Below are 22608 nucleotides of genomic sequence, written 5' to 3'. Positions count from 1 at the left end.
TCCTCTGAACTCTGTACTTCTTGGCACTCTGTTCTCCCTAACTCTAATCTTAACAGTTTCCCCACATGCAGGCAACCACTGATGTGCTGTCACTACAGACTTTTTTTCATTTTCTGTAATCTTACGTAGTATAGTATGTACTCTTTTGTTGGCCCAGTTGTTTTTACTCAGCGTAATTGTTTTAAGATTGATTCATGTTGTTGCATTTATCAATACTGCATTGCTTTCTTGTTCAATTGATATTTTGTAATTTGTATTTTATTCATTCTGTCTTGACTTTCATTATTTCTTTGCTTCTCCTTTGGGTTTAATTAATCATGTTTTCCTGGTTTCTTAAGGTAGAAACTGAGACAATTAATGTGAGAACTTCTTTTTTTCCTAAGGGTGTTAGTGCTGTAAATTTCCCCCTAAATATTGCTTAGCTGCATCCCACACATTTTGATGTCCTATTTTTTTTTAGTTTTACTTAATTCAAAGTGATTTTGAATAACAAGGTATAAAACTCACAGTGTCAGGCATTTAATAAAAAACTGCCATACAGAAAAAGAAGCAGGAAGATATGACTCATAGGCTACTAAATTCAATCAATTGAAACTTACTTAGAACTGACAAATGTCAGTGTTAACAGATAAGGACATTAAGATAACACTACTTCATGTGTTCAGAAATTAAGAACCATGAAAGATATATAAAAGACGTAAATCGAACTTCTAGAGATGAAGAATACAATGTTTGAGAAGAAAAAGTCAAAAGATGGGATTAATGACAGATTAGACATTGAAAAAGGAAAAAAAAGTAAAATTTATAAACATAGCAGTGTAAATCATCTAAAATGAAACTCAAAAAAAAAAAAGAAAAAGAAAAAGAAAAAGAAAATCCAGACAAATAAACAAATGAACAGCATCGGTGAGCTGTGGAGCAACTTCAAAAACCCTAAAATACAAGTCACAGGAGCAGAGGAGCAGGGGAGATAGAATAAATGTTTGGAGAAATAATGGTCAAAAATTTTCCAAGTTTGATGAAAATCATAAATCCACAAAACCAAGAAGATCAATGAAACTCGAACATAAAAAAGTTAAAAAAAAAAAGGCACCAACTCAAATAAAAAACAAATTGTTCAATATTGGTGAGAAGGGGAAAAAATTATCAGAAACAGCTGGAAAAAGAAAGTCAAGTTACTGAAGAATGAGGATATTTTAAATTACATGTGAGGAAAGTGCCTAAGGGAGACACCTGAAGCTTTCTGCAGTTCTCTCATTGAGCAGCTTTTTTCTCTCTCTGATACTCTGTCCTGAGAATTCTAGCCTTGATCTCTCATGTTTGTCAGCTCCATTTGCCCTATTCAAGCAATCAGCAGGGCTGTACTCTGGTTTCTTATCCCAGCGCCATAGTTTAGAAGCTCCAAAAGTAGTTCAGTTGGGGCTGCCAAAGGGCTCAGCTTGTTTGTTTCTCATCTATTATGGATCACTGTCCTTCATTGTGTAATGTCCAGTGTCTTGAAAATTGTTTCACATACTTTCTCCATTTTTACTTATTTCAGGTGGGAGCACAAATCTGCTTCCAGAATTCCATCCTGGTTGGAAATGAAACTCCTCACTGTAGTTTTAATATACAAATCCCTTATGCCGAGAGAGATTAGGCATCTTATATGAATTTGAAGACATAGGTATAGAAACTATTTTAAATGAAACACAGAGAAAAGAAACATTAAAAATGTTTAAGTATTGTTACATATCCTTTCATGCATGCATGGATTTTCTTAGGTTTTGACTTGCTTCTAAAATTTTCAGTGTTTTTCTACTTTATTTGCAGTTTTTTTGTTGTTGTTGTTTATTAGGTAATTTGAGCCTTACAGTGCCCTGAGCCTTTCAAATCACAGATCTTTAGATTCCATTAGACAACAGCCCCATAAATAGGAATCTTAGGTGTGACTGAGGTTCCATTTATCTTCGTCACCTGACTCTGCAAAGTCTAGCTCCTGATCTTCTCTCTTTCTATCTTCGTGTAGATGATATCCTTATCCCCAGTTGTCACACAACTTTGGTCAATCAGGTGCATCTTTATGCATTCTAACAAGTTTTATTACCCATAGGTAATAGATGATATTTATAAGAAGAGGAAGAAGTCAAGTTTCAAAAAAGGACCCCAGGCAATGTATAAAATCTGCATGTCCCCTCCCAGTAGCCTTTAAGTCTTGCATTATTTCTCTCAACAGAAAGGAAATATCACCAGAAATTTTGTTGCACAAAAGAAATGGATAACGTTGCTGTTCTTTTTCTCACTTTATCATATATCCTAGGCATTTATATTTTAACGTTAATTCTATCACTGCTTAAAATGATTCCTTAGTAGATCTATTATGGGAGAATCATCAATTTAAGATAATTATTAGTTTAGTTTTCAGGTTTTTAAATAATTTAGGTCCATAGTCCCTTATTTTCAATTTTGAAACCCCAAAAGCACTTAAAATTAAATGTCTCTTTTTCACTAATTTAGAGGTTGAAACTAAGCTAGCCTGAAGTCATTTGATGTCAGAAACTCACCAGAACTCACCTAAAACTATTTACTGTCTGTGTTTATTCCACTTCGTGCAAATATTCATATATTCCTATTTAGAAATATTAATGTTGTTTTGTGATGAAATGCTTCCCTGAATGCCTCTGATAGTACTGCATAACACACACACAGCCGTGCACATGTGCACACACACCATGTAGACTTTCTAAAGTCATAAAATAATTTTGAAATACAAATTGCTCCCAAGAGTGGACCTATAGAATTTCTGCAGTGCATGCCCTAAAACATATATCTACCAACTCAAGTATATTGTTTTTATAATTCTTAGTACTGAAATTGGTAGTTAAAAGACAAGTGAAGTTTTCGGTAGTTATTCACAAATTGTTTTCCAAAAAATATCAGTTTACATTCCCTGCAATACTGAATTTTATTAATTTTAAATCTTTGCCAGTCTTAAAAGTTAAAAGTCTACTTAATTCTTTAGTAATTGAAAAGGTTGGCATTTTTTATAACCTTATTTAGCATTTATCTTTTTCTTATATGCGTTAACATTATGCTTTTATCCAATTTTCTAGTAGGTTTTCATGTTTTTTGATTTCATTGTTAATGGTAGAATTTTTAATTGTTTTGTGGTTAGACTTGCCTCAACAAATTTGAAATTTATATGTCAAATTTATAAGTCCTCTATGGATTTATAAATGTTATAAATGTTATTTTTGTCCCACCGAGGATTTAAAAACTATTTTCACTCATTTTGTTTTTTTCTGATTAATTGTATTGTTTTTCGATTAATTTTATGAGTTTTGTGTAATTCATGTGACATATATACTGTAAAATGTTTTTCGAACTTATTTATCTTGCTTTCTTGCCATAATTTTTTTTATTTTGTTCCTTGATTTAATGTGATTGAAGTTATCAACCTTTTTCCTTTACTGATTCAAAGTTTTTCTTAGAAAAGCATGTCATTCAAGGAATATAATAGTATCTTATCTTTCAGTGGTTTAAAGAATGCCTCAGAAAGAGTAAAGATTAGTAGAAAAATGTGAAAAAGGATAATTATATGTAGATTAAAGTGAAATTAACCTAAATAAAATTAGATACATGACCAGAGGCTGATGCTTTATTCAAAAGTATCTTATTTAGGCCACTAGGCTTTATGAACAGTCATCAAGAATACCATTTGCAGAAGTAACTTAACCAATTTGTATATGAGTCATATTCAATGAAGTTATAGGCTGATGATCTCACAGTTAACAATTCTCATATATTTCTTTTTCTCATATGGAGCATTTTAGAGCTCAGAAAATTATTAATAAAGTTAATGTCACCTACTGAATGCTTAGGGAAATGAATTCCTAAGCGAGCTCTCTAATAAGACTCATATATTTTATTTTAACTTCAATTTGGTGAATCTCAAACAGGTTAAAACAAGTTAACCAGTATTACCTTCTAATCAACTTTACAGTAAATGGGGGAACAGTCATCTTTTTATTTTGAAGTTCTACTATCAGCACCTAATATCTGACTTAAAGAAGTTCATAAACCCAGGAGCTTATAAATGACTAAAGTTTTAATGACTTAAACTAAAAGGATCTGAACATTTATGGATATGAGTTTTTTTTTTTTTTTAACATAAACTCCCACCCTCTCAGTGAGAGAAAAGGTAGGGAGGCGTCATAAGATATACTGGGCTCCCTTAATCCAGATCAATTGAATTAGACTCTACGGGTGGCTCAGACAGAGTAGTTTTTAAAGCTTCTCACTAATTCTTGTGTGCAGCTGTCATTGAGAAACAGTGCTCTAGGTATTAGTCTCCATAGGTTTCTGCAGTCAAGTTACGTTTTTCCCTTGCTGGACAAATTTATGTAGGCCTTAGAATTATATAGTAAAACTGCTTATGTCAACTGACAGTGTTTCAACAGTGAAAACTCTGAAAATAGCAAAAACTTTGAGAAACTGGACCAAGGTATTATTAGAGATCAAAGTATTATTATTGGTACTTCCTTGTTCAAAATATTAGTTGGGTCCCTGTGACTAATTTTGGCTGCTACGCTGTAGGCAGAGGTGTCCAATGTCACTTTTGAGTTCAAACACTTAAAAGTCAGTGTCCAGCCCTCGAGTGCACTCTTCCCTAACACAGCAACTGAGACTGCATGTTCCATACAGTAAAGCCACAAGATAGTAGAGCCTTTGTCATGCTGGGTCTCTGAGTGCCTGCATGGAGCAGAGTGCCCTGGCCAGAGTTGGACATGTAGTATGAGCAAGAAATAAATATTGTTAAGTTATTAATTTCAGGGTTGTTTATACTACAACATAGCCAGTCAAGCCTTTCTCATACATGGGTTTGGAGCAGTCTTTTCAGAACTTGTAGCTCAGGAACTAGACATGAAGAAGGACTGAGAACACCACGATCAAGTTTTTTCCCTGGCGTTATTGGGACAGCACATAGAAGTACTTAGAGATTTTAGAAAGTGGTTGCTATTTTTTGAATGTACATGTCCCTCCAAAATTCATGTGTTGGAACATTAACCCCAAGTTGATGGTATTAAAAGGTGGGGCCTTTGGGAAGTGATTAGGCCATGAGGGCTCCACCCTTATAAATGGGATTAATGCCCTTATAAAAGAGGCTTCAGAGAGCTGCCTTGTCCTTTCAACTCTTCTGCCATGAGAGGACACAGCATTCACCCCTTTCACCATGTGAGGATACAACAGCAAGGTGCCATCTGGGAAGCAGAGAGCAGCCTCATTAGACACTGAATTTATTGGTGCCTTGATCTTGGACTTCCCAGCCTCTAGAATGGTAAGCAATACATTTCTATTGTTTATAAATTGCTAAGTCTAAGGTATTTTATTAGAACAGTGGGAATCAACTAAGTTGTTATCAGGAACAGAATATTTATAAAACAGTATTCCAAATTTACAATAATATTAATGAAGAGATGACACTGGAAATTCTTAAGGTGGTTTTAAAACTCAAGATGTAGCAAAACTAAGCAGTTCTATTATAGATAGAAAGATTTTGAATATCAATTTTCCTAATGTAAGAATAATCAGTGAGAGTGATCAGTTAGATCAATTGCCTGCATAATTTAATATAGCCAAATTGCTGATAAATGGAACTTCTATCAAATGGTTTAATCTGGCTGTACAACACTTGTGCTATTTCTGTATATGTCTGTGTTTAACTGAACATTAATGTTTATGCATGCATAATGCTTTTTATACGTATATATAATTTGTGTTACATGGCAAAAGATTCAAAAGATACTAAAGAGGGGAGAGAAGAGTGCACATCATAATTTTTTCATTTTTCTTTCTGAATCCATAGAGATTCTTTACATTTGCATATACATGTATTTTTTACCACATTAATGGCATAAACAATACAAGATGTTCATTACTTTTATTGTTTAGCCTAATACCTTACAGCAGGGCTCAGCAAACTTTTTTTCTGAATAGCCAGATAATAAATATTTTAGGCTTCCTTTCTGTAGCCATAAACAATACATAGATGGATGAGCATAGCTGTATTCCACTAAAACTTTATTTAAAAAACAGGTGGTGAGCCAGATATGGCCTACAGGCAATAGTTGTCAACCTGTTTTGGAGAGTTTTTCTTATCAATATATACATAGTTAATTCATTCTTTTAAAAAAATTAGTGTCTAGTTCTCTATCAAACTCTAGTTTACAGTTTTTTTTTTTTCAGCAAACAGTACTGTAAATGAGGAAACTGAGGAATAGGAGAAATGTAACTTGCCCCTAGATCACTAAGATAACAAGTGGTAGACTAGGATTGACTGGAGCACAGATCATCTGGCTCCAGAAGCCCCACTCATGAACATCACCATACACGGCTTCTACCATACATTATGATTGGGATATAGGGTTTCATTTTGGAAATGGAACTTTGGTCACACTTTCTTCACACTCAGTGGTAAGGTCCATCTGTGTGTCTCTGATTCCCACCCACTGTGAACATTGCCATTGAGTATACCACTGCTTCTACATGAGGCCTCTGGTGACTACAAAGATAATTATACTCTGATTCCCTCTTCGTTTTCCAGCCTTAATTTATAGACGGAGGGAAGGCTGTTCACACAGGAGTAGTCTATCAAAATGCCCATTCACACTGCAGCTTTTACACTTGATAACAAATGTCTTGTTCTCTGAGTTTTCAGAATTCGTTCAATTTGTACTGGAGACCTCTAGGTACAGGAGGTGGGTGTGTTGGCAGTCATATGTGTCCTATTTGTGAACAAATTCTGCACTCCATCAATACCATTAAATATTAGTGGGTCATCTAATTTTGAACTAGTGCCACGTGCTTGCTCTGGGAATTTGATTTGGTGCCAATTTGACCTCAAAGTTCACAGCTTGAACTTTCTGTATCATCTTGACTCATCATTTTTGCTTACAATAATTTTTTCCACTCACCCATCTTCATTTCCGTGTGCATGTCAGCCTAAGTTTCCATCCTACCTCAAGACCTCGTATTTTTATATACACATTTTGTTATCTAATTCCACCCCCAGTATTTTATTCAGAATATTTAGTCTGGTGTGGTCTGTGGACTGGCAGCATCAATACCCAGGAGTTGGTTACATATGTAGAATCTCAATTTCACCATCTTCAGACCTACTGAGTCAAAATCTCTAAGGAAGTCACCCAGAAACTTGGGTTTTAACAAGGTCTCCGAAGAATTTTTATGTCCACTCAAGTTTGAGAAGCACTGTTCTAAGCAATTGCATACATTTCGAATAAATCTAAAAAACTCAATAGCTTAATAGAATAAAGGCTTATTCTGGATGACATCACAGTCACTTCAGGTTAGGTGGCTCTCCTTGGGAACTGTCTAACAAGCCAAGGATTCAAGTTATTTTCATTGCTTGATGCTATCAGCATATGGACTCCATGTTCACTGTAGATAGAAAATGGACGACTGAGCAGATGTCTTAAGGTAAAGCTTAAAAACAGCATACATTACTTTTGCCCACATGTAATTGGCTAAAACACAGCCACATAGCCCCAGTCTTTGTCCAGGAAGGCTTTAACATGTAGAGAAAAATGCGGGTTTACATGGGTGCTCACTAGCAGTCTCTGCCACCCGTTGGCTGGCCTTTACTTGGTTCACTACTTCCTAAGGTTTCATTAAATGTATCATCTCTTAATGCAAATCTGGTGCTGGGTAGTGATGTTGTTTACTCCTTGTTATACCTGAGGATACTTAAGGTTTAATTCTGATTAAAAGATTTTACATCTTAATTTTGATATGTAGTATTAACAAATTGCCATTCAATTATGTTTAATAATGTATACTTCTAAAATTTTCATTCTCACATTATAGAAATTTGACAACAGCATAATTTTAATTCAAATTACTTTATTAGATCATTTCTCCATATTCTGATGTCATTGTTTTTCAGATTTTCAACTACATTCTTGGTTTAATTTACTGAGGCATTTTCTTGCCCATGTTTTCTTGTAGGATCTTTTGCTGTTTATAAAGACATTTATTTTTCTTGAGATTATGATTGCTTTTGACCGCTCAGAGTTTTGGAGTTAGTTATGGTTAGGAATATGTTACCATTTGTTACCATTTACCCTATGTTACCATTTGCCATATTTCATCTTTTTGAGGTTATTTAGTTTCCTGACAGGCTGAGAAAGATTTTTTTTTTACTTGAACATTATGAAAATATTCTCTGTATTCCTCTAAACCATGGTTTAAGAAAAAAGGATGATAGGAATTCAAGAACTGATGGGTATTAGAGATCTAATAAACCTGAGAAAAAAAGAACGTTCTTTAAAAAGAGCTAAAATGGGTAGTTTCATGAAGAGCCAAAGGGACAAAAGTGACAGCATTGACACAAGAGTCCTTCAATAAACCAGCATAGAATTTGTGAGCAGTTAGCAACAGGGACACTTATGAGAAATAAGGCTCATTTTAGAGTTATGTCACTCTGGGCACAGGACGATTATTTGATTCAATCTCATAACTAGAAAAACTGTTTTTTTTCCTGGACTATATGCCTCTAAAAATGGAATTCTATTAAATAGTTCCTCAGTGGTCAGAAAAACTCATCACTAAATGTTTTCCCTCACTGCTATGCCTTATGTTGCATACCCTAAATCGAATTTGACAATTAGAGTAAAATCCTTGTTTTGAGTAACTTAATCCTACTTTCCTGTCACCATTGCAGTCTGAGACCCTGTATTAGAAATGCATCATTCCTTTTCATAGCTTCTACATCTTTCTACCCAGGACATTTATTTGATTGCTTCTGTAATCAGGAACATGTCATTAACAATGTCCTTTGGCATGCTCCGTCTCTGTACTATTTATTACCAGTCCTATGTCAGCTTTCTTCTCCCTAAGAAGGCAACAGGGCCAAATCCTTTGTCCTTCTCCTATCTCTATCTAATCTTTTTCTGATCAAGCTTGATTTCATACCTAACCACCACCTATCCCTGAATAAATGAGACTCACTGTAAAATTTATTTGCTTTTAAATACATGTATTATTACCTTGTCATACGATCTACTAATTTCAAATATTTTTATTTTTAGTTTTTAGGAAAATAATAAAAATCAGTAGCTCCTTAGACTGTTCACCATGGTAAAGGTAACCAAATTTTATTTAACTACAGCCTTGTGCCTGCCATTGAAAAAAAATTAACTAAATTTTGTGATTATAAAATTATAAAAGTTATGTATCCACATGTTAATCAATACAGAAACATTGTATTACCTCTTTTTAATCCAGAGGAAACTTGATTTATGTAGATCCCTGCAGATATATTCTATTAATAATATTTTTGTATTCACACTATGTTTCTTTTATAAATAAACTACCATTCATACTGCTCTGCTCTTTGTTACTTAACAGTACATCATAAAGGTCTTTCCATTTCAAGCACACAGATACGCTTCATCTTTGCAAAGTCTACGTGGGGTTTCAGTGGATGCTTCTATCAATTTACTTACATAGTACAGGGCAGTTCCTTGTTTGCCTGACTCCAAAGCTGATGAACATAATACCTAGAAAAACCAGTGTCCACTCATTAAATTTGACAGATGAAATTACTGAGGCCTAAAGAGCGACGCTTGAGGGCACCATGGAATCAGTGGACACGTTGGGTACCAGGTGCTTTTTTGTTTCCTCCTGAGTTCCAATTCAGAACTCTTTTATAATATTATTTTCTTTTGGAATTAGATGAACATAAGGTATCTATAGGTAGCTTTATCGGTAAAACAGAAGAGCATCTGGTACCTTAAATGGTGTTAGGGAAAAAAAGAGTGTCTACACATGGTGGGTTGAATTCTAGCTGCAAGATTGCTGAGGGCAAGCCCATTTTCTGTCAGAAAATGAGAAGAGCAAGAGAATATATATTTTAGGGAAAATTGGGACAGAAAAGCAGTCAAAGTCAACTTATTTTCCACAGAAAATTTCTTGTATTTCATCAGTTGGATTTTAACTACTTCTCTTTTCTTTTTCTTTTCTTTTCTTTTCTTTTTTTTTTTTTTTTTATGGGAACTCATTCTGTTGCCCAGGCTGGAGTGCAATGGTGTGATCTTGGCTCACTGCAACCTCTGCCTCCCAGGTTCAAGTGATTCTCCTGCCTCAGCCTCCCGAGTAGCTGGGGTTACAGGCGACCACCACCACGCCCAGCTAATTTTTGTATTTTTAATAGAGACAATGTTTCACTGGGTTGGCCAGGCTGGTCTCGAACTCCTGACCTCAGGTGATCCACCCACCTCGGCCTCCCAAAGTGCTGGGATTACAGGCCTGAGCCACCGTGCCCAGCCCAGATTTTAACTTCTTTTCTATCCCAAAGATTCATCAATGAGAGAGAGAAAGGGAGGCATGGAGGTTGGGGTGTCGGGAGAGAGAGAGAGAGATTGATTTAGTCAAGTCTTGTAAACTGTGGTAGTTCAGGGCCATGATTTAATCCCCAGGATAGGTGTGCCCTCAATATAGCACCAGCTCAGAGTTCAAGTATCACATCTCGTATGTTTTTATCTGTCCCATGCAGATTTCCTGTACTTTACTGTGAGCTCAGCAATGCATTAAAAAGTAGTCATTGTGATTTATCCAGTGTGTTGGCATTTGCTTTGGAGGACTTTTCTTCAAAATATTTAGTTAGCCATGATGTTGGAAGTAGAAGTCCCTCTGAATTTTTTTAGTAATTTTCATTATTTCTATTCAAGTATACATACAGACAAGTGCACAAATCATAAGTGAAACTTTATGGATTCCAACATGAACAAAAAATGTAACCAGTGCCAGATCACAAGACAGAACTTCGTCAGCCTCTTAGAAGTGTCACCATTCCTCCTTTCAATCATGAGGCCCAAATGGAAAATAACCACTGTGCTAACTTTTAACACCATATACCTGGGTTTGCACTTTATAGAAATGGAATCAGGTAGAATGCACTCTATGTGTTAGGCTTCTCACACTCCATGTGAGAACATAATACCCTGGACTACCACAGTGTACAGGACTTGACTTGTGATATTTGTGAGATTTATCCATAGTGTCTCTACATGTAGCTGTTCATTCTCCTTGCTGTGTAGGATTTCATTGTACATATGTAGAAAAGTTTAGCCTTTTTTTGATGGATATTTGGTTAGTTCCAGTTTGGAATTTTTACGAGTAGTTGTATTTTAAACTTTCTTCAACATATCTTTTGGTGAACAGATGTACACATTCTTATTGTATATATCTGTGAATATGATTTCTAGGTCATAGATGCGCATATTTTTGGCCTACTTTCTATCGAATTGTCTGCATTTTATTGATTTGTTGAGCTATTTATATTTTCTGGATGTAGATATATGGCTAGATATAAATATTGATTGTTTCTTCTTTGTGACTTGTCTTCTACTCTCATTGTTCCCTTTTGATGAATAAGAGTTCTTAATTTTAATAGGTTAATTTTTCAAAATTTCCACTTACGGTTATGGTTTTTTATGCCCTTTCAAGAAATATTTGCTCACTTCAGTTCATGAAGACATTTAATATTTTCTTCTAAAAGCTTTATTTATCCTTTACATTTAGATCTACAATCCATCTGTAATTGATTTTTTTATGGTCTGATTTGCTTCAACACAAATGGCTTGTTTTCATCATTATTCTGCTAAAACTGTTGTGCTTTTGGAAGGTCATCAAGTAACCCTAGGGCTGTTCATATTACTGCTCATTAAATATATTTTATGGCTTCTCATGAAAACCACAAATGTTAAACTACTTAGCAAGGCTATGAAAAACTTCACAATTGTGCCCCACATTGATTTTCTAGCATCATGGCCTATAACCCTGTATTCCTCCAGAATTACTTATCCATGTCCCTTTCTAGCTATATTTTAGTGTATCAGTAATGCATTTCCTTCTGCACTGCTTTTATCCTTTATTATATAAAGTCCTGCTCATGTTTCCTAGTGTGTATGTATATATACATATATATGTATGTATATATACATATATATGTATGTATATGTAAGTATATGTGTACATATATACATACACACATATATACATACATATTTTATATATATAGTGTGTGAGTGTATATATAGGTATATATGTATATATAGGTATGTGTGTATTTATGTGTGTTTGTGTGTGTACATATATATAGTAGCCAACCCCTGCTCTCCAAGGCAAGTTTATTATATCACTCCCTCAGCTGTTCTTGTGTTTATTCCTGTTGTAATATTTTCTAGGTTGTATTCTTATGTCATTTCAATGAAGGAGGTACTATTATCCTCATTTTACAGATGACAAAACTCAAGAATAGAAATAAAAATGTCCAAAAAGTAAAATACAAAAATTAAAATAAATGTAGAGATTGGATGGACACATATTTTATCATCTTTCCCTAACATTTTATGGTAACTGGTTTTCTAGCACTCAACATCATTTCAGGGACATTGGCATCTTTCTAAAATGTTGTGAGAAAGGAACCAAATGACACTTCTCTTAAGTAGTAAAGAAAGCTTCTTGTTAGGCTTGCTTCACTCAAACCAAAAATCTGTCTAGACATTCCAATCGTACTAAATGAAATTTGAAAGGAGATGATGCAGGAATTGGGTGGAATCCTCACCCCTGAAGCCAAGGCCTTCCTGAAGTTCCCTTTCTCTCAGTAGGCCCTGGTAAGCCCAGTGTTAGGAGTGCCTTGGCATTGAAGAGACAATAATATGCATAGTGACTGAGTCTTCTGCATTTCTTCTTTATAATAATACCAAGATGGAGAATTTTAAGAAAGATAGTCTAGAATGTGACACCTAGAAATTCATGATAGCATAAATTATCAGTCAAATCAAACTGTAAACTTCTCTTCACCTGCTTTTTTAATTTAGCCTCTCAGATTCCCAAAATGCTGTATTGAACATAGACTAACAAAGCAAATGAGGTGCAGGTGAGAAATACTTCATCTGGCAATGCAGTCTTTATTAACATTAATAGCACTTTCCTCCGCACAATCTTATAAGTTTGAACTCATGATACTTAAAGTTGCATATGTAGTGTTATTTTAAAAAGCCCAGCTGAATACTGGGTTGGCATCTCCTATGCTACTCTGAATTCCATAAAGCCAGTAAGCTGCTCCTCAGCATAGTTTACATTCATATTCTTAACATATCTCTTTTAAGAAAGCGAAACTTAGTGGCTATGTAATGCTACTGCTCTGGGTAGTGGCAAATGTGATTTGAAAAAACATTTTGGGCAAGGAAATAAACTACTATCACCTGGGAGAAAAGCGATAGAGCCCATATCTGTTATAACTTCTGGAGGCATTCTGATAGTTTTTTATTTTTTCATTTATTTTCATCCTACGTTCCTTTAAGCCAAATTTTGCTTTTCATACAGCCCTGTTCTATATGTTTGATCCTCTTATCATTCATTTCTTGAGCAACCGTATTTCTTTATGAATTCTCTATTAAAAATACTTGGCACATTTTTTAGAGAGAGCTTTCTGTTTCTTGAATTATAACTATTCAAAGGGAATTGTCTGCTGAATGTTTGTGGGTGGCTTAGTTTGTAGCACGAGTAGCCACATAGGTATTGCTCATTTCTCCAGTAAAACATATGTCATTTTATGGCTTTGGTTATTACCTCTTCCTTAGATTCTTCTCACTCCAGAATTTATGTTTGTCTTACAGTATCTTCTGGTCCTGTCCTGTCTGAAGGACAGGACAACAACTCTGTTTTCTGAAACATGGGTGACACAACTATGGTGAAATGACATCATTTTAACAGAGCTAGACAATGTTGAATTGTGAATGCAAAAATTGTGAGTGCTATTTATTTATACAGAAACCTCTCAACTTAAGTCAGTCAACTGTAGTTGTTCATACTTTGTAAGAATGTTTTACAAAAATAAAACTGTTTTAGAGTTTTGTTTCATGTGAAGAATTTAAAAGCCAAGATAGTCTATTTCTTGCCTGGAGTGCTATACTAAAAAGGGGAGCTGAAATAATTTCTTACTAATACTCATAAATACAGAACCTTCAAAAATTCTGTTTTCAGTAATGTTGCATTTCAATGTGGAATCTGGCAGCTCTTGATTTGAGTCTAATTAAATGTTATTTTCCAGTATTTTTAACCTATATAATTGAAAGCCAGTTTTTTTTTCAGATTACCTAGGTGCATATATATATATATATATATATATATATATCTCCTAGGTGCATATATATATATATCTATATATCTATATCTATATATATATCTATCTATCTCCTAGGTGCATATATATATGCCTTCTCATTCATGGCCTAAATTCTAGTAAAGGGTTTAGGCCTTCTCATTCATGGCCTAAATTCTAGTAAAGCGTTCATTAGAAGAACATAGATAAAAAAAGCAAATGTAAATAAAGTAATTAGAAGAAATTGGCTCTCAGAAATCTCAGAACCTGGACCCACACATACTAGTATTTCAGTATCATATCGGGCATCAATAACCTCTAAATAACCCCAAACACATTTTTACTCAAACATTTTTTAAACCACTTAAAATGTTATGGTGGGTTTTTACTGTAACAACCTTACTACTGGGTGAATACTGAAGATCAAATATGTTAATTCATCATTCTTAGCCACAGATTGACAAACTATAGCCTGTTGGCCAAATTTGGCCAGCTCATTTATTTAAATATTGTCCATCGCCTGCTTTTACACCACAACAGTAGAGTTGAATACTGTAGTTGCAGTAGAGACTTTGTGTCTCGCAAATCCTGAAATACTCTCAGGTCCTTTACAGAGGAAAAAGAAATGTTAACCATGAATCTAGGCTCCCATATGCAGCGAGGAGGAGGTAGAAAGAAAGGAAAGGAAGGAAAGAAAGAAAGGAAAGGAAAGGAAGGAAGGGAAGGGAAGGAAAGGAGGGAAGGAGGGAGGGAGGGGAGAAAAGGAAAGGAAAGAAAAGAAAAAAGAAAAGAAAAAGACAACTGCTTATATGTTTCATATCTAGCAAATTTAATACAGAATTAAATCTGCCCAACTGGTTTAATTCCAATGTAATGTATTTCTGATAAATGAGTCAATGGTAAATCTCATATTCACTGGATCAAACTAGCTCAAAACCAAACATATACTGTCACCAGGCCACTATCTTTGAAATCAACTAGTGACAAAGGAGTAAGTGTACTTTCTTAGTCTCCTGATTAAAAACTTATTGATAGGTTCTAGTGTCAGGAAGGAATAAGTGCACTCCATTCTATCCTTCCCATTGATGAAAGGTAGAAGAAAAGGAAGGCAAAATTCATAAAGCAACTGTAAGAGGCCTCTAAAAGAAGAGTAGGTGAACTGGGTAGAGATAATCAAAACTCAAAGAATGTCCATACTTTGGAGAATTATTTTACTTTAATTTGTTCTATTTGCTTGTTTGTTTTGACTTCCATATCTTCTTAGTCATATATATCTCTTGGATTTTGAAAAACCACAGACAAAAAAAAAAAATGCTGGTTGGAGGACTTGGAAGGGAGTTCATTAGAGAATAGAGCTCTTTGAACCTTCCCTGTCTGCCCCTAATGAAGCTGCAGCCCTGTAGCAGGCAAAAGTGGTGGCAACAACAAGAGTGGGGGATATGGTGGTAACAGTGAAGGTTCCCTCAGGGTCTCTTCTCCTGCCAATCTGTACTCAGGAGGAGCAGTTTTGGGAATGGCACAACAAGCTCAGAAGTTGAAGGCTCTTTTTAGGAGAGCACTAGAAACGGGCCTGGTGAACATGATATGCTTACATTCATTCTTGAGAGCCAGAATAAATAGGCACAGTTTTTTTCAAGAAACGTGGCATAATATGTTAAGGGCCATGCAAATGTTCTCATTCATTGATATAATAATTAATTTATGGGAATTTGACTTAAGGAAAAAATCCAAATAATTTAAAAAGCAAGTACAAAGTAAAAGATATTTATTGGAGCCTTATTACATAAATGAAATAGTTTCATCACATAATCAAATGAATTATGTTAAAAACAAAGATGTTAACTCAAATTGTGTTCAACCATTCATGGGATCATTAGGGAAAGTAAAGAAGAAATTAAAATGCATATAAAATAGTACTACGTGAAAAAATGCTTTCAAGTTGGATTTGAGATATTCATGAAATACTTGAACAATGAAAAAGGTTTTTTCTTTAGATTTTATACTATTAATGATGTGGTGTTTTAAAACTTCATAATAATTTAGTTTGTACTTGGAGTATAGAAATTAGTTTGAAAAATGAAGCATGTTTGTAATCCTAAATTGTATATTGAAAGAGGTATTTTAGCATCAGAGATGTTTGTAAACTGAAACAAAATAACGTAAGTAGATGTGCGACGATGGCAAACATTTTGGAATATGTATCAAAGTTCTTAATGTTTTTTCATAAATAAGAATTTGGAAAATATCTTCCAAGAAAACTAACAAAGTGTATCTTTCAGCTTTCTATTCCAGAAATAATTAACTAACACTTTTTTTCTGTTCTTTTTAATTTGTCTGAAAAGCTACCTTGTTATAAAGCAGGCTGGAAAGGTTGTTGGGCTAAAAATAATCAAATGGTCCATACTTCTAAAATCTCTGGTCTATGATTTTTTTTAATTTCACAGAGCTTTGCACTTACATCTCTGGATGGGGATGGAAGTGGAAGTGAGTGACAAGAGCACAGCATGTCAGTTCCAGTCATGTTCTTCACTTCTGATGGATAGAGTGAACTGAGACATTTAAGATACTAACAGTCCTGGAACTCAATTCACTTCGTTAAATATCGACTGCCTGCTATGAACCAAGCATTGACCACATTCTTTGAATTCAGAGAAGTGATAAACCTTATGGTTGCCCTCTGGAAGAGACAGGCACAATACAAATAATACAATGTGATAAGTGCTTATAAAACAAGAATATATTAAATGATATGTAAACACAAGTGACATAATAGCCAACTCTTCCTGGGCTTCGGGGCAGGTCAGACGACAGCAACCAAGTGATATTGAGTTTATCCTTGAAACTCTGGGCAAAGAAAATCAAGATGAAGAGACTAGAACCATGAAAAACTTTGTGTTATTTAGAATAGAACACATAATATTTCAGATGCTCTTGGAACTACTCAGATTAGAGGCAATATAGGTCCAAATCAAGCCAATGGAGATAGATGTGAAAAGACAGATCTTGGAATTATTTGGGAGTTAGAACCTACCAAATCTGGTGACTAAATAAGAGAAGCAAGGATGACTTCTAATTTCCTGGTTTGGAGTATTGGTCAAAATTGATAGCATTAGTTTACATCTTGCAAATTTTAACTCTACTGTTGAATTGATGACAAATTTCCACACAACACTGTATTTAGTGCCATATTTAATTTCATCTTGATGAAATGGCTAGTCTTTAAGCTCCTAAAAGATATAGAAATCTATTTCCCACATTAAAAATATTCAATAAATACCAGTTGTTCATCATTGATTTGCCTCAAAATATAGGTGTATATGCAGATAATTACTGGTGAACTTGTGTTAGTCTTACTAAATATCTGAATTATACAAAAATTCTGCAACTAAAAAAACCCATTCTGTCAGAAAGATGCTATGAAATATGTTTATATACCAATGCTGTCTAATGTGCCCAGAGTACAAAGCTTGATTTTGAGGACCTGTAGTTTGTCTCATAGTGACTCATGTACAAATGCAAAGCTATAGGCAATCACATTCAATACTAATCAGTCACACAATCTTTGCATAATGGTATTAAAGCCAACAAACTCAGTAATTTTTTGAGCTCTAGTGAAAGTCATTGAAAGTCTGAAAACTAGATAAATGAGTAAGGCAGAAATAAAGAAGTTCTTTGCCGCTTTGGGAGGCCAAGGCGGGTGGATCACTTGAGGTCAGGAGTTCGACCAGCCTGGCCAACATGGTGAAACCCCATCTCTACTAAAAATACATAAATTATCTGGGCATGGTGGTGTGCACCTGTAATCCCAGCTGTTCAGGAGGCTGAGGCAGGAGAGTTGCCGGAACCTGGGAGGCAGAGGTTGCAGTGAGCCAAGATCACACCACTGCACTCCAGCCTGGGCAAAAAAGAGAGACTCTGGCTAAAAACAAAAGAAAACAACAACAACAAAAAAAACTTTACAACTGAGAACAAAGATACAATGTACCAGAATATCTGGGACACAGCTAAAGCAGTGTTAAGGGGGAAATTTATAGCATTAAATGCCCACATCAAAACGCTGGAAAAGATCTCAAAAAAAAAGTTAGAAAGGTTTCAAATCGACACCCTATCATCACAACCAAAAGAACTAGAGAACTAAGAGCAAACAAACCCAAAAAGCTAGCCGAAGACAAATAACCAAAATCAGAGCTGAAATGAAGGAGATAGAGACAAAAAACCCTTCAAAAATTAATGAATCCAGGAACTATTTTTTTTGGAAAAGAAATAAGATCACTATCTAATAATAGAATAATAAAAAGATTCATATAAACACAATCAGAAATGGTAAGGGGGATATTACAATACAAACAACCAACAGAGAATACCATATGCAGCTCTCTGCATTTAAACTAGAAAATCTAGAAGAAATGGATAAATTCTTAGACACATACACCCTCCCAAGACTGAACCAAGAAGAAACTGAATCCCTGACTAGACCAATAACAAGCTCTGAAATTGAGGCAATATTAAATAGCCTATTAACCAAAAAAAAAAAAGAAGCCCAGGACCAGATGGATTCATAGCTGAATTCTAACAGAGCTACAAAGAAGAGCTAGTACCATTTCTACTGAAACTATCCAAAAAAACTACAGAAGGAGGGACTCCTCTCTAACTCATTTTATGAGGCCAGCATCATTCTGATACCAAAACCTGGCAGAAATACAACAACAACAAAAATGTTAGGCCAATATTGTTGATGAATATTGATGCAAAAATCCTCAGCAAGATACTGGCAAATTGAATCCAAGAGCACCTCAAAAAGCTTATCCACTGCAATCAAGTAGGCTTCATCCCGGTGATGCAAGGTTGGTTCAACATACACAAATCATTACATGTGATTCCTCACATAAACAGAACTAAAGACAACAACAACATGATTACCCAATAGATGCAGAAAAGGCCTTCAATAGAATTCAACATTCCTTCATGTTAAAGGCCCTCAATAAACTAGGTATTGAAGGAACATACTTCAGAATAATAAGAGTCGTATATGACAAACCCACAGCCAATGTCATACTGAATGGGCAAAAGCTGGAAGCATTCCCCCTTGAAAACTCACACAAGACAAGGATTCCCACTCTCACCATTACTATTCAACATAGTATTAAATTTCTGGCTATGGCAATCAGGCAAGAGAAAGAAATAAAAGATATTCAAATAGGAAGAGAGGAAGTCAAACCATCTTTGTTTGTTATACTGTATCTATAAAACCCTATAGTCTCAGACCCAAAGCATCTTAAACTGATAAGCAACGTCAGTGAAGTTTCAGAATACAATTAATGTGAAAAAATCGCTAGCATTCCTATACACCCACAACAGGCAAGCCGAGAGCCAAATCATGAATGAACTCTCATTCACAATTGCCACAAAAAGCATAAAATACCTAGAAATACAACTAATAAGGAAAGTGAAGGACCTCTTCATGAAGAATTACAAACCACTCTTCATTGAAATCAGAGATGACACAAAACAGGTAGAAAAACATCCCATGCTCATGGATAGGAAGAATCAATATTAAAATGGCCATACTGCCCAAAGCAATTTATAGATCAATACTATTCCCATTAAATTACCATTGACATTCCCACAGGATTAGAAAAAACTATTTTAAAATTCATATGGAACCAAAAACAGCCCTGATATGGTTTGGCTGTGTTCCTACCCAAGTCTCATCTTGAATTGTAGCTCCCATAATTCGCACATGTTGTGGCAGGGGTCCGGTGGGAGATAATTGAATCATGGGGGTGGTTTCCTCCATACTGTTCTCAGGATAGTGATGAAGTCTCACCAGATCTGATGATTTTATAAGGGGAAACCTCTTTCACTTGGTTGTCATTCTGTCTTGACTGCTGCCATGTAAGACGTGCCTTTTGCCTTCTGCCATGATTGTGAGGCCTCTCCAGTCACATAGAACTGTGAGTCCATTAAACCTCTTTTTCCTTGTAAATTACCTAATCTTAGATATGTATTAATCCTCAGCATGAAAATGGACTAATAGAAGCCCAAATAGCCAAGACAATCTTGAGCAAAAATAACACAGCTGGAGGCATCATGCTACCTGACTTCAAACTATGCTATAAGGATATAGTAACCAAAACAACATGGTACTGGTACAAAAACAGACACATAGACCAGTGGAACAGAATAGAGAACTCAGAAATAAGACCACACACTTACAACCATCTGATCTTCAACAAATCTAACAAAAACAAGCAATGGGGAAAGGATTTCCTATTTAATAAATGGTGCTGGGAGAACTGGCTAGCCATATGCAGAAAATTGAAACTGCACCAGTTCCTTACACCTTATACAAAAATTAACCCAAGATGGATTAAAGACTTAAGTGTAAAACCCAAAACTGTCAAAACCCTAGAAGAAACTCTAGGCAATGTCACTCTGGGCATAGGCACAGGCGAAGATTTGATGACTAAAACACCAAAAGGAACTGCAACAGAAGCAAAAATTGACAAATGGGCTCTAAGGAGCTTCTGCACAGCAAATGAAACTATCACCAGAGTGAACAGACAACCTACAGAGTGGGAGAAAATTTTTGCAATCTATCTGATAAAGGTCTAATATCCAGTCTATAAGGAACTTAAGCAAATTTACAAGTAACAGACAACCACATTAAAAAGTGGGCAAAGGGCATGAACTGACACTTCTCCAAAGAAGATATACATGTGGCCAAGAATCATGAAAAAAGCTCAACATTACTGATCATTAGAGAAATGCAAATAAAAATCACAATGAGATATTATCAAATGCCAATCAGAATGGCTGCTATGAAAAATAAAAAAAATAAAAGATGCTGGTGATGTTGTGGAGAAAAGGAAATGCTTTTACATAGTTGGTCAGAGTACAAATTGGTTCAACCATCTTGGAAGACAGTGTGGTCATTCCTCAAAGATCTAGAAGCAGAAATACCATTTGATCCAGCAATCCCATTACTGGGTATATACCCAAAGACATATAAATGATTTTATTACAAAGATACATGCACACACATGTTCATTGCAGCTCTACTCACAATAGCAAACACATGGAATCAACCCAAATGCCCAGCACTGATAAACTGGTTAAAGAAAATGTGGTACATATACACCATGGAAAACTATGCAGCCATAAAAAGGAAAAAGATCATGGTCTTTGCAGAGACATGGATGGAGCTGGAAGCTGTAATCCTCCAAACCAAGGAACAGAAAACCAAACATCGCATGTTCTCACTTGTAAGTGGGAACTGAATGATGAGAACACATGGATACATGGGGGAAACAGCACACACTGGGGCATGTTGGGGGTGGGGGGTGGGAGAGCATCGGGAAGAATAGCTAATGGATGCTGGGATTAATACATGGGTGCTGGGATAATTTGCGCAGCAAACCACCATGGCACACATTTACCTATGTAAGAAACCTGCACCTCCTGCCCATGTATCCTGGAACTTAAAATTTGAGAGAAAAGATACGAGCAACCTGTGCATTGAAAATTACAAAACTGCTGAGAGTAAATCCTAAATAGAAATCCACTGTGGTCATGATTGTGATGACTCAAAATTATTAAGATGTCAACTATCTCCAGATTGATTTGGAAATTCAGGGCACTACCAGTCAAACTTCCAGTGGACATTTTGGACATTGACAAGCTTATTCTAAAATGTAAAAAAAAATTAAGAAAATACCAAAACTAAATAGCCAACACAGCTATGGGTTTTGTTTTGATAGCTAAATCTCTGTTGAACAGTATATGTCAGTACAGTTGTATAGGTAGTGCTGGGTGCACAGACCTATATAAAACCTTATTCCTCACCTCAAACTGCTTACAAACCTATCTGGGCATATGACACAAACAATATATAGTGGAGAGATTCTGAAGAGGTTTTGGAGTCAGAAGAAAATGTTCTAAATTCGCAGCTTTTCTCCACATTCACTTTCATGAGCAACGTCTGGCACATGATACCCCACAGTGTCATTTCCAGCTGCCCTTCTCCTGAGTGACTTTCTCAGTTCTACAACCATGAAAACAGACTATGATAAAATGTTTAATGACAGGTGCTGTTGGTATTCCAAGGAAGAAGCAATAACTTATCCCTGAAAGAAGGGTAGGGGCCCTTTCTTACAGGAGACCTATAGCTTTCCAAAGGGGCATGAAACAGGGATGTGTGTCTTAGGTCCTTAGGTCTATGTCAGCGAAGGTCTTTCTCCCCTTAATAGAAAAGACAAACCAATAACTTCCTAACCTAGTACCTGATGTAAGCCTTGATGGACTTAAACTAATTTTCATCTTGCCATCACAACCTGAAGTCTGTCTCTGGCCACCTAAGGTATTTGTTTGATGTGAAATCCAACATAAAAGTGATATGGCTTGAAACTGATAATGAGGCTCTGGGATTATATTTCTCTCTT

General features: G+C 35.4%; 1 annotated feature.

Annotated features, from left to right (window-relative positions):
- Positions 6203-7402: an enhancer, noted in NCBI's record as "MED14-independent group 3 enhancer chr9:31670767-31671966 (GRCh37/hg19 assembly coordinates)". NCBI's record gives its function as "activates an origin of replication core promoter dependent on BRD2, BRD4, P300/CBP and CDK7 cofactors, and independent of MED14, by STARR-seq in HCT116 cells {active_cell/tissue: HCT116}" and the evidence as "EXISTENCE:reporter gene assay evidence [ECO:0000049][PMID:35650434]".

This window comes from Homo sapiens, chromosome 9 (assembly GCF_000001405.40).
Source record: "Homo sapiens chromosome 9, GRCh38.p14 Primary Assembly".
NCBI lineage: Eukaryota > Metazoa > Chordata > Mammalia > Primates > Hominidae > Homo > Homo sapiens.
This window is presented reverse-complemented; position numbering and strand designations above follow the sequence as displayed.